This window comes from Homo sapiens, chromosome 6 (assembly GCF_000001405.40).
Source record: "Homo sapiens chromosome 6, GRCh38.p14 Primary Assembly".
In the NCBI taxonomy this organism is placed as follows: Eukaryota; Metazoa; Chordata; class Mammalia; order Primates; family Hominidae; genus Homo; species Homo sapiens.
In genome coordinates this window covers 35,647,622-35,660,225 of record NC_000006.12, presented here as the reverse complement: position 1 = coordinate 35,660,225, position 12,604 = coordinate 35,647,622, and the positions used below count along the sequence as shown (strand labels likewise).

The window sequence follows — 12,604 nt, the reverse complement described above, 5'->3', positions numbered from 1 at the left end:
TGTATGCTGACCAAAAGGGAGTTAAATTAAAAGTCAATAACAGAAAGATACTTGGAAAATTATTAAATATTTAGAAACTAATGTATTCCTAAGAAGCCCACAGGTCAAAGAAGAATATCAAAGATGAATTTAGAAAGTATTTTGTACTTAATGAAAATCATATCAGAATATGTGGGTTGTGGTTAATGCAAATGTTTAGGGGAAAATTCATAGCACTAAATGTCTATATTGGGTAAGAAGTAAAATCACAAATCAGTGTCCTCAGCTTTCACCTTAAGAAATTAGAAAAAGAAGGGAAAATTAAACCCAAAGTAAACAGAGGAAAAGAGTTAAGGATAAAAGCCAAAATTAGTGGAATAGAAAAAAAGAAAACTAGTAGAGAAAGTCAGTGAAATCAAAAGCTGGTTCTTTGAGAACAATGAAATTGATAAAACTCTAACCTGACTAATCAGGAATCAGAGAGAGAAGACAACTTACCAATATCAAGAATGAAAGAATTGCTAACAAAGCTCAGATTCTATAATTATTAAAAGGATGAGAGAATAATATGAATTACTTTATAGTAATACATTAGACAGCTAGATGAAATGTGCAAATTCCTTGAAAGATACAAAATACCTAAGCTCACTGAAGAAGAAACAACCTGAAAAGTCCTATATCTATTAAAGAAATTGAATTCGGCCAGGCTTGGTGGCTCACGCCTATAATCCCAGCACTTTGGGAGGCTGAGGTAGGCGGATCACCTGAGGTCGGGACTTTGAGACCGGCCTGACCAACATGGAGAAACCCCATCTCTACTAAAAATACAAAATTAACTGAGTGTGGTGGCGCATGCCTGTAATCTCAGCTACTCCAGAGGCTGAGACAGGAGAATCGCTTGAACCCAGGAGGCAGAGGTTGCAGTGAGCCAAGATGGTGCCACAGCACTCCAGCCTAGGCAACAGGAGCGAAACTCAGTCTCGAAAAAAAAAAAAAAATTGAATTCCCACAAAGAAAACTCTAGGCCTACATGGTATTCCTGATTCTACCAAACATTTTAGGAAGTCATAATACCAATTTTACACAAACTCCTCCATAAAATTGATAAAGATGGAATATTTCTTAAGTCACTCTATGATTTTTATTATTTATTTACTTATTTCTTCCTGAACCAGGGTCTCGCCCTGTTGCCCAGGCTGGAGTGTGGTTGTGTGATGGTGTGATCATGGCTCACTGCAACCTCCACCTCCTGGGCTCAAGCCGTCTTCCCACCTCAGCCTCTGAGTAGCTGGGACTACAGGTGTGTGCCACCATGCTCAGCTAATTTTTGTATTTTTTGGTAGAGATGGGGTTTTGCCATGTTGCCCAGATTGGTCTCGAACTCCTGGGCTCAAGCAATCCACCCGCCTTAGCCTCCCAAAATGCTGGGATTACAAGTGTAAGCCACCACACCCAGCCAGCAATATTTTTTAACAAAATTTTAGTAAATTGAATCCAACAACATATAAAAATGATAAAATACAGTGACCAAATAGGGTTTATTCCAGGTATCCAAGGTTGGTTTAACATTTGAAAACCAATGTCATGTACCACATTAGCAAGAGAAAGCATATGATCAGCTCAATAGATGCAGAAAAAACATTTAACAAAGTTTAACATGCCTTGCTGATGAAAACTCAGCAAACTAGGAAAATAAGGGAACTTCTCAATATGATAAAGGGTATCTGTGAAAAACCAATAGCTGAAATCATAGTTAATGCTGAAAGACTGAATGCTTTCCCTATATAATATTTAGAACAAGTCAAGATATCTGCTATTCCCAATTGTGTTCAGCATTGTTCTGGAGGTTCTTTTTTTTTTTTTTTGACGGAGTCTCAAAAAAAGACGGAGTCGCCCAGGCTGGAGTGCAGTGGCGCAAACTCGGCTCACTGCAAGCTCTGCCTCCTGGGGTTCACGCCATTCTCCTGTCTCAGCCTCCTGAGTAGCTGGGACTACAGGCGCCCGCCACCACGCCCGGTTAATTTTTGGATTTTTAGTAGAGATGGGGTTTCACCGTGTTAGCCAGGATGGTCTGGATCTCCTAACCTCGTGATCCACCCACCTCGGCCTCCCAAAGTGCTGGGATTACAGGCATGAGCCACTGCGCCTGGCCAATTTTTGTATTTTTTTTTTTTTTTTTTAGTAGAAACAGGGTTTCACCATGTTGGCCAGGCTGGTCTCAAACTCCTGACCTCGTGATCTGCCTGCCTCAGCCTCCCAAAGTGCTGGGATTACAGGTGTGAGCCACTGTGCCTGGCCTTATAATTTTATTACAAAATTGAGAAACCAGATGTTTTACTTTATGTTTTCTAAATTTCTGAATGTATTTTCAGAATGATATAAAATGTTAAATTTTATTTTAGATTAGAACATTGTTATCCAACTGGATGATAAATAAAGAAAAGGAAAAGGAAAGAATGTTGTGAGACCCCCTAAGTACAAAATGGAGGAAGTCAATGGAATTCCAAGCTTGAGAGAAATTCTTAGGATCTTGATTGGATGATTAGGTATCGGTGGTAGAGAGAATAATGGATCCTCAAAAATGGAACTTGTAAATATGTTACCTTATAGGGCAGAAAGGACTTTGCAGATGTGAACAAGGTTAAAAGCTTTGAAATGGGGAGATTATCCTGGGTTATCCAGGTGGGCTCAACTTAATCACGTGGGTTCTTAAAAGTGGAAAACTTTCCCAACTATAGTCAGAGAGAGAGATGACTACACAAGAATGATCAAAGAAATGCAGTATTCCCGGCTGAAGATGGAGGAAGGGGGCCACCAGCCAAGAAATGTGGGCAGCCTCTAGAATGTGGAAAAAGCCAGGAGATGAGTGCTCTCCCGGAGCCTCCAGAAGGAATGCAGCCCTGCCAACACCTTGATTTTAGCCCAGTGAGACCCATTCTGGACTTGTGATCTCCAGAACTGTAAGATGATAAATTGGTATTATTTCAGCCACTAAGTTTGTGTTAATTTTTTCTTTTTTCTTTTTTTTACTTGAGACGGAGTCTCACTTTGTCACCCAGGCTGGAGTGCAGTGGCGCGATCTCAGCTCGCTGCAAGCTCCGCCTCCCGGGTTCACGCCATTCTTCTGCCTCAGCCTCCCGAGTAGCTGGGACTACAGGCGCCCGCCACCACTCCCGGCTAGTTTTTTTTTTGTATTTTTAGTAGAGACAGGGTTTCACCGTGTTAGACAGGATGGTCTCGATCTCCTGACCTTGTGATCCACCCACCTCAGCCTCCCAAAGTGCTAGGATTACAGCCGTGAGCCACCGTGCCCGGCTTTTTTTCTTTTTCTTTTTTCTTTTTTTTTTTTTTGAGACGGAGTCTTGCTGTTTCCCCAGGCTGGAGTGCAGTGGCACGATCTCATCTCACTGCAACCTCCACCTCCCGGGTTCAAGCAATTCTCCTGCCTCAGCCTCCTGAGTGGCTGGGATTACAGGCACGCGCCACCATGCCCTGCTAAATTTTGTATTTTTAGTAGAGATGGGTTTTCACTGTGTTGGCCAGGCTGGTCTCAAATCTCGAACTCCTGACCTCAAGTGATCCACCTGCCTCGGCCTCCCAAAGTGCTGGGATTACAGGCATGAGCCACTTTGCCCAGCCTGTTTGTGGTAATTTCTTATGGCATCTGTAGAAAACTAATACCACATGTAAGTGGGTAAAGCTCAGAATTCATATTTTGCCAGAGGGTTGCAATGGAAAGTGAACTCTGTATTGTTAAGATAACTTTCTATCCCTTGGAAATTGTTTTTCCTTCCACATAGCAAACCTCATTTTCCCCAAAAGTAAAACATATATTTATAAATTACTTTTTAATGAATAAATACAAAATAACAGAGTTGGAATAAACCTTAGATATGATTCTAGTCTAACCCCCGAAAAGTATAGATGGAAAAACTGAGTGAGGGCCAGAGATTCCACAGCTAGTTAATAGTAGATCTGAGTTTATTGGCCTTTTCTTCCTTCCATATTTTTATGGAATTTAAGATGGGGATTTAAGATGGCCGAGATTTTTTATTCTTTCTACACAGACTCAAATGCTATTCTTGTACAGTTTTTCTCTTAGGCATATAATGGACTTTGGGAAACAATTTATGTAATAGTGTTTTAATGAGCTAGTACTGTAAGAGGATACAGTATTACATAAAACTTTTGGGTTTTTCTGTCTGCGTCTCAAGTCTGAAACATCTCTTCCTCCAGTTGCTAGTTAATGTATACTCAAATATTGGCAGCTAGGTGTGGTCCTTTGTTCTTGACTGTCCATATTTAAACCAAACTAATCTAATTAATAAGGTAAATCTGCTATGTGTTGTGTATGTACAGACACTCTTATAATGTACTTCAGAGATAGATTTTAATTATGCTTAGGTGTTCTTAATTAGTACTCCTGATTAGAACAGAATTTTATTTTTACTTTTATAGTTAAACGCTCAGGTACAGTGTAATTTTCCAGATTAGATTTTTCAGATTAAATTTAGAGAAGGAATATACTTAGCTTGTAATGGTATTTCAGCACTGATTCTTTATGGTGTCTGATATTTTGCCATCTTTACATGGACTGTGATTTTGAAAATCGTGATCATCTCATCATTTATTGAGTACTGCTCCTATGCCATTTACTTATACTAGGTGGTGGAGTACAAAATGAATAGGACACATTCTCTACATGTATAGTGTTTATAGACTTTTCTCATATGTTACCTTGTTGGCTCGTTCCTAGAAATCATCAGGACACTTAGAACCAAACTCTTTGGCCCTAGTGAATCACCTCAAGTTACTCTACCACTGTGGCACAGGTAGAAATTTGACTTTCTATAGAAAACCTAGACAAATAATAGGGGCTCATTCCTACTGTCTTCACCCTTATCAAAATGTAAGTTCCATGGAGACAGAAATTGTTTTCTGTTGTTTAATGCTGTATCTCCACTACAATAGTGCCTGGCACATAGTAGGTATTCAGTAGATAGTTGTTGAATAAATAAGTGAATGGCTCCTACTTATCCTTCAGCTTTCAATTAATTTATTATTATTATTTTAAATTTCTGTTTCTTTTTAGACATGGGGTCTCACTATGTTGGCCAGGCTGGTCTTGAACTCCTGGCCTCAACTGATCTGCCCACGTCAGCCTCCCAAAGTGCTGGGATTACAGTTGTGAGCCACCGAGCCTGGCCCACAACTACTTTTTTTTGAAGAGTCAGGGTTTCACTATGTTACTCAGGCTAGACTTAATTCCTGGGCTCAAGCGACCCTCCCACCTCAAACTCCAAAGTTGCTGGAGGTTCAGGCACTTGGCACTGGACCCAGCTGCTGCCATAACTTTAACAGTGATGCCTATCAGATGTACCTTTGAGCTAAGGGGTCTCTTGTCTTGGTACAGAGCTGGATACAGCTTATGAGAGATAAGAGGCAATGCATAAAATTAGCCAGGCGTGGTGGCGCATGCCTGTAATCCCAGCTACTCAGGAGGCTGAGGCAGGAGAATCGCTTGAACCCGGGAAGTGGAGGTTGCTGTGATCTGAGATCGTGCCATTGCACTCTAGCCTGGGCGACAAGATCAAGACTCCATCTCAAAAAGCAAAACAAACAAACAAAAAAGGCAATGCATAAAGTCAAGAAAGAAAGTGCCAGAGAAGGATTCAGGTTGCTTCAGGGGGTAAAACAGCAGTAAGTAGTTTTATTTGAACAATGGTATGGTATGGTATTAAAAGACAATGAGGGGAATAGTACACTAACTTCAGACACTTTCTAAGTGCTGTAGATCTTTTAAAATCCATCATAGTCTTGCTGACTTCTTTAGTGATGGTTTGAGTTTTAATTATTCAATTATGCTGCCAAAAGTACTGCAGGTTGTCAAGTATCATTTATCCAAAATGCTTGGGACAAGAAGTGTTTTGGATCTTGGAGTTTTTCAGATTTTGGAATATTTGCAAATTTCTCTAAGGGAAAAAAGATATTTTGGCATGTAATGCATAATATTTGCATAATTATAATCCAGTGTTCTAAAATGATTGTACCCACCAAAATCTATAAACAATAAGGAACTGTGGTTGTTTGCTGCAAATAACTATGATAAACCACACTGTTTGTATCACATGTATTAGCCCATTGTGACATTGTCAATTGACCATATGCACATACATGTATACATGAGATATAGTATCTTGGGGATGGAACCCAGATGTAAACATGAAATTTATTTATGTTCACATGTACTTATACACACAGCCTGAAGGTAATATTATACAATATTTTTTATTTTTATTATTTTTTTTAAGTCAATAAATTTTTATTCATGGAATTCCATGTTGTGATTTCTTCCACTATCCATCAGGGCCACTTTAGATCCTCTAAAGAGCTGGAGTCAAAAGATTTATCTTCAAGTTAGCCATTTTTAATGAAACTGATGCTTATTTTAATCCACTTGTCCTGTCAGCCCATAATTCTTTTATTTTGGCTTCTGTCATCTCCTTTTAATATGGATATACTGATGAAGACTTCAAAATTCACCAAGAATCTTTGGGATCTAATTTCTTCAACCAGTGTACTTTAGGGTCCTTTTTACTGTAGGTGGTGGATCTGCCTGGTTCTCAATTTGACACCCTCTCTTAACATGAATGAATTCAAATCATATTCATTCCTAAGCGATGACACTCAAGAATAGTACAGATGTGTGGAATATGCCAGTACCTTTAACTCCAGATATCATGTTCTCAAGATAACTCCATTAAAACAAAAAGCCATCATATGTATCGTCAATATGAAATTGGAATGCAAAATTAATACTGCTGAGGACTTCCCTCATATCCCATGCTGTTTAACTATCTATTCTACAGTCCTAGAATCCATCTTTTTTTATTAAGAGACAGGGTCTTTGTTACCCAGGCTGGAGTACAGTGGTGCCATCAAAGCTCAGTGCAGCCTCCAACTCCTGAGCTCAATCCTTTTGCCTCAGCCTCCCCTTCCTGAGTAGCTGCAGCTACAGGCACATGCCCCAATACCCAGCTAATTTTTAAATTTTTGTGAAGATGAGGTGTTTGTTACTTTCTTGCCCAGGCTGGTCTTGAACTCCTGGTTTCAAGCAATACTCCCGCCTCGGTGTGGGGATTGCAGGCTTGAGCCACTGTGCCTGGCCTGGAACCAACCTTTATGTCTATCAATACTCCCATCAGTTAACTGTCTCAGGTATCATAATATCCCTTCTTATCGGGGGACCTGCCCCGATAATCACGTAGGTTCTTTTCTATTTTCCTAAGCGTCAGCTGGCTTGAGAAATAAAAGGACAGAGTACAAAAGAGAGAAATTTTAAAGCTGGGCGTCCGGGGGAGACATCACACATTGGTAGGATCCGTGATGCCCCACAAGCCACAAAAACCAGCAAGTTTTTATTAGGGATTTTCAAAAGGGGAGGGAGTGTGCGAATAGTTGTGGGTGACAGACGTCAAGTACTTAACAGGGTAATAGAATATCACAAAGCAAGTGGAGGCAGGGCGAGATCACAGGACCACAGGACAGAGGCGAAATTAAAATTGCTAATAAAGTTTCGGGCACCATTGTCATTGATAACATCTTATCAGGAGACAGGGTTTTGAGATCAACTAGTCTGACCAAAGTTTATTAGGCGGGAATTTCCTCTTCCTAATAAGCCTGGGAGCGCTATGGGAGACTGGAGTTTATTTCACCTCTGCAATCTCGACCATAAGAGACAGGTATGCCCCGGGGGGGCCAGTTCAGAGACCTACCCCTAGGTGCGCATTCTCTTTCTCAGGGACTTTCCATGCTGAGAAAAGGAATTCAGTAATATTTCTCCCATTTGCTTTTGAAAGAAGAGAAATATGGCTCTGTTCTGCCCGGCTCACCGGCGGTCAGAGTTTAAGGTTATCTCTCTTATTCCCTGAACAATTGCTGTTATCCTGTTCTTTTTTCAGGGTGCCCACATTTCATATTGCTCAAACACACATGCTGTACAATTTGTGTACTTAACGCAATTATTACAGGGTCCTGAGACGATACACATCCTTCTCGGCTGACAGGATTAAGAGATTAAAGTAAAGACAGGCATAGGAAATCACAAGGGTATTGATTGGGGAAGTGATAAGTGTCCATGAAATCTTTACAATTTATGTTTAGAGAGTGCAGTAAAGACAGGCATAAGAAATTACAAAAATATTAATTTGGGGAACTAATAAATGTCCATAAAATCTTCATAATCCACGTTCTTCTGTCATGGCTTCAGCCGGTTCCTCCGTTTGGGGTCCCTGACTTCCTGCAACACCTTCTTATATGTATCAAAACTCATACTGAACAATGAGTTCTGGGTTGCAAAAGAGGATTTATTTTTTGCACCTAACCATAAGTCTTTGTCCACAAGTTAAACAAAAACAGTGTAGTATACAGTATTTTTAATAATTTTGTGCATTAAATAAAATTTGTGTACCTTGAATCATTAGAAAACAAGTATTAGGTGTGGAGTTTTTCACTTGTGGCATCATGTTAGAATTCAAAAAGTTTCAGAGTTTGGAGCATCTTGGATTTCGGATTTTTCCAATTAGGAATGCTCAACCTAATCAGAAGTAAGACTTGGATATTAAAAGTTTGAAAGCCACGGTTTTATTTGCTTAGTAGTATATAACTGCAACAGTACTTTTTATCTTAATTATTGTGTAGAATCTGATGACTCCCCAACATATAACTGTCACCCACACTTCTCTCCTGAGCTCAGGCCTTATCTCTGATAACCTTCTGGACATCGCACAAGCACCCCTTGCTCAACATACCCCAGCCAGAGTTCTCTTGCTCTCCATAAAAAGCAATCTGAAATGTTCGAATTAAATTGAAGAGAAAGAATAAAAAGTCCTGATGAGTGGAACCATGAAATGTTTCATCTTTTTTCCCTAAGTTTAAAAAGATCATGAAAGTAATACATGTTTAATGTTAAACTATTTAAATAATATAAAAATAAAATCTAAGAAGTGAAAATTCCTTCTTATCTTCCCAAATCTCATTCTCCAGAGGTAACACTGTTTGAGCAGTTTGGTAAGTTATCTTTCCAAACTTCTTCTATATATAAGCAAATATACAAACACATATATACTTTTTTCCTCTTGGAAATAGGATCATGTTACAAATCATTCTGCAACTCACCATTCACTTAATAGTACATCTTGAAAATCCATCTGTCTTTTCATGTGAGTATTAGAAGATTGTTTATGTGGAATGGGTAAGACGTCACCTGCTCCATATTAGTGATATTTTCAGAGATTAGCTGTCTTAAAGGGAAAACAGTGAAAAAGACATTTTGGCATGTAATGAACAATATTTGCATAATTGTAATCCAGTGCTCTAAAATGATCATACCCACCCACCCACCAAAATCTACAAACAACTGGGAACCATGGTTGGTGGCTGCAAATATATTGGTATAAATTACACTGTTTGTGCCAGGTGCGGTGGCTCATGTCTGTGATCCCAGCACTTTGGGAGGCTGAGGCGGGCGGGTCACTTGAGCTGAAGGAGTTCGAGACCAGCATGGCTAACATGGCGAAACCCCATCTCTACTAAAAATACAAAAATTAGCCGGGCATTGGTGGCGCACACCTGTAATCCCAGCTACTCAGGAGGCTGAGGCAGGAGTATCATTTGAACCTAGGAGGCGGAGATTGCAGTGAGCCAAGATCAGGCCACTGCACTCCAGCCTGGGCAACAGAGCAAGAGTCTGTCTCAAAAAATTTAAAAAAATAAAAAATAAATTACACTGTTTGTGTTACATGTATTAGCCCATTGTGGCATCATCAACTGACTTTTTTTTTTTTCAATGGTCCAGATAACCAAATCATCACTGGGCACTATGCACCATTAACAATACACTTCATTTACTACAATGCTATTCTTTTTTCCTTTTTTTTTTTTTTTTTGGACAATATCTTGCTCTGTTGCCCAGGCTGCAGTGCAGTGGTGCAACCATGGCGTGATACTCCTGCCTCAGCCTCTCCAGTAGCTGGGACCACAGGCGTGTATTTTTTATTTTTAGCAGAGATCGGGTCTCACTGTGTTGCCCAAGCTGGTCTCAAACTCCTGGGCTCAAGCCTTGACATCCCAAAGTACTGGGATTACAGGTGTGAGCCACTGCGCCTGGCATTCTTTTATAATGGATGAACATTTACAAAATAGTTTCCCAATTTAGTTGTTTGGATGTTTTTGTTTAGACTCTTAGCTAAATGATTCTCTACTGTATAGATTTATCTCATGCTTTTCAAAAACTGTATATTTTTATAGTATGCATTTGCCAAATTTTAGTCTAACATTCCCATGACCATCCTTTTAAGGAAAAACTTTGAAATACTTTTATTTAGCCATACGGTTAAAATTTAGCTGGAACTAAGTGATCTGTGTTTAGTTGATGAACTGATCCATGCTATTCTTGCATCATGACTTTTTCATCTTCCCTTGATTCTTTTCCCTATATGCATTTAAGCCTGTCTGGTTCTTTTCTCAAGCCTTTGCTCTCTACTCCCCTTTCACTCAAAGCATTTCATGTTTCGCCTTTATAACCCTAGTATAAGTATCAAACTTCTCACCTGTGACTTTTGCCTCTCTCTACATCTCTCTTCTACTTTTAACTTTCATGTTTACAATAAGCTACCTTTCTCTTATTTTCAGTTCTTACCTTCTCAAACTTCAGAGAATCCCCACTGCTTAGTGTTCTTGGGAGATGCTAGAGGTTACACAAAATGCCACCTCCCAGAAGGTCGAGGCATTTTTTTTCTTTAAAAAAAAAAAACCTTTTAGCCAAATACTTACTCATAAGAAATGCTCCATTTTATTCTCAGTAGTATCTTCAGAAAGATTTCAGAGGTAATTGCATCTACAAAATAAAGACTTAGTGCTAAGAAAATGAGCAATCCGATAAGAATATGTAAAATAAAAAACATTATTACTAAATTCTTTTTTTTTTTTTTTTTTTTAGACAGAGTCTTGCTCTGTCGCCCAGGCTGGAGTGCAGTGGTGCGATCTTGGCTCACTGCAAGCTCTGCCTCCCGGGTTCACGCCATTCTTCTGCCTCAGCCTCCCAAGTAGCTGGAACTACAGGCGCTCGCCACCACGCCCGGCTAATATTTTGTATTTTTAGTAGAGACAGGGTTTCACCATATTAGCCAGGATGGTCTCGATCTCCTGACTTTGTGATCCGTCTGCCTTGGCCTCCCAAAGTGCTGGGATTACAGATGTGAGCCATCCCGCCTGGCCTTTTTTTATTTTTATTTTTTGAGATGGAGTTTCACTCTTATCCTCCAGGCTGGAGTGCAATGGCACAATCTCCGCTCACTGCAACCTCCGTCTCCAGGGTTCAAGCGATTCTCCTGTCTCAGCCACCTGAATAGCTGGAATTACAGGTGCCCGCCACCATGCCCAGCCAGTTTTTGTATTTTCAGTAGAGATGGGGTTTTTCCATATTAGCCAGGCTTGTCTCAAACTCCTGACCTCAAGTCATCTGGCTGCTCTGGCCTCCCAAATTGCTAGGATTACAGGCTTGAGCCACCTCACCTGGCCACTAAATTCTTTTAAAAATCTCTTGAGCACACTAAATGATATATTGAATATAGCTGATGACCAAATGGTGTTGTAAAAATTCCATCAGGCCAGGTGTGGTGGCTCACTCTTAATAATCCTAGCACTTTGAGAGGACGAAGTGGGAGGATCACTTGAGCCCAGGATCACTTCAAGACCAGCCTGGGCAACATAGTGAGACCCTGTCTCTTCTGAAAAAAATAATAAAAAAAAAACATTAGGTGTGGTGGCACATGTCTATAGTTTGAACTACTAGGGTGGCTGAAGGGGAGGATTGCTTGAGCCCAGGAATTCAAGGCTGCAGTGAGCTATGACGGTACCACTGCACTCCAGCCTGGGCAACAGAGCAAGACCCTGTCTCTTAAGAGACAATAAGAAATAAATAAAAATTCCATCAAAGAATTTCTCTTAGGGTATAAAGCCAGAGACAAAGATGAAAAATGGGAGAAATGTCCAGTGGTTCTCAACCATGTCTGACTGCACATTAGGATCATCTAACATGGTTTTTGAAAACACCATTACCCTGGCCCCACCACAGACCAATTAAATCCAGACTCTCTGGGCTGGAGTCCAGACATCAGTAGCTTTTTTAAGCTCCTCAGGTGATTCTGTTGTTTAGCCCAGGTTTAGAAAAATACTTAAGAAACCTGAAGAATAATACCAAAATGTCCGAAGTCTATCTAATAATACTTCTAGAAGTAGAGGACAGAGACATCAAAGGAAAAGAAATAATGCTAGAAAATTTTTCTGGAGATTCTGCAAAGACTTGTCTTCAGCAGTTAAGGGCCAGAATATCAAGGCCCCTGCAGGAATTAAGGAAAGAAGACAAGTACCTTGACATATCCTTTCGATGGGTCTGAACTCCAAAAATAAGGATTATTATGTCTTCCAGAGAAGAAAAGATGGGAGCCACAGTGTGCACTCTGGAAGGAAAGAAACCTACCTGGCCTAACTGATCCAAACACAGTTTCTGCTTTTTCCCCCAGATGCTGCTCTCCAGTGCATTCCCCTAGCTCACTCCTGCTTT

General features: G+C 40.1%; 1 protein-coding gene and 1 non-coding gene across 5 annotated transcripts in view; one reads left to right on the top strand and one right to left on the bottom strand.

Moving 5' to 3' along the window:
* FKBP5 (FKBP prolyl isomerase 5) overlaps positions 1-12,604 on the top strand; it is a 154,994-nt gene that overhangs the window by 68,358 nt on the left and 74,032 nt on the right. The gene's annotated exons all lie outside the window — the stretch shown is intronic.
* On the bottom strand, positions 8,281-8,408 carry LOC124900228 (small nucleolar RNA SNORA40). Its single transcript, XR_007059955.1, has one exon. It is a non-coding gene; the product is annotated as a small nucleolar RNA SNORA40 (small nucleolar RNA).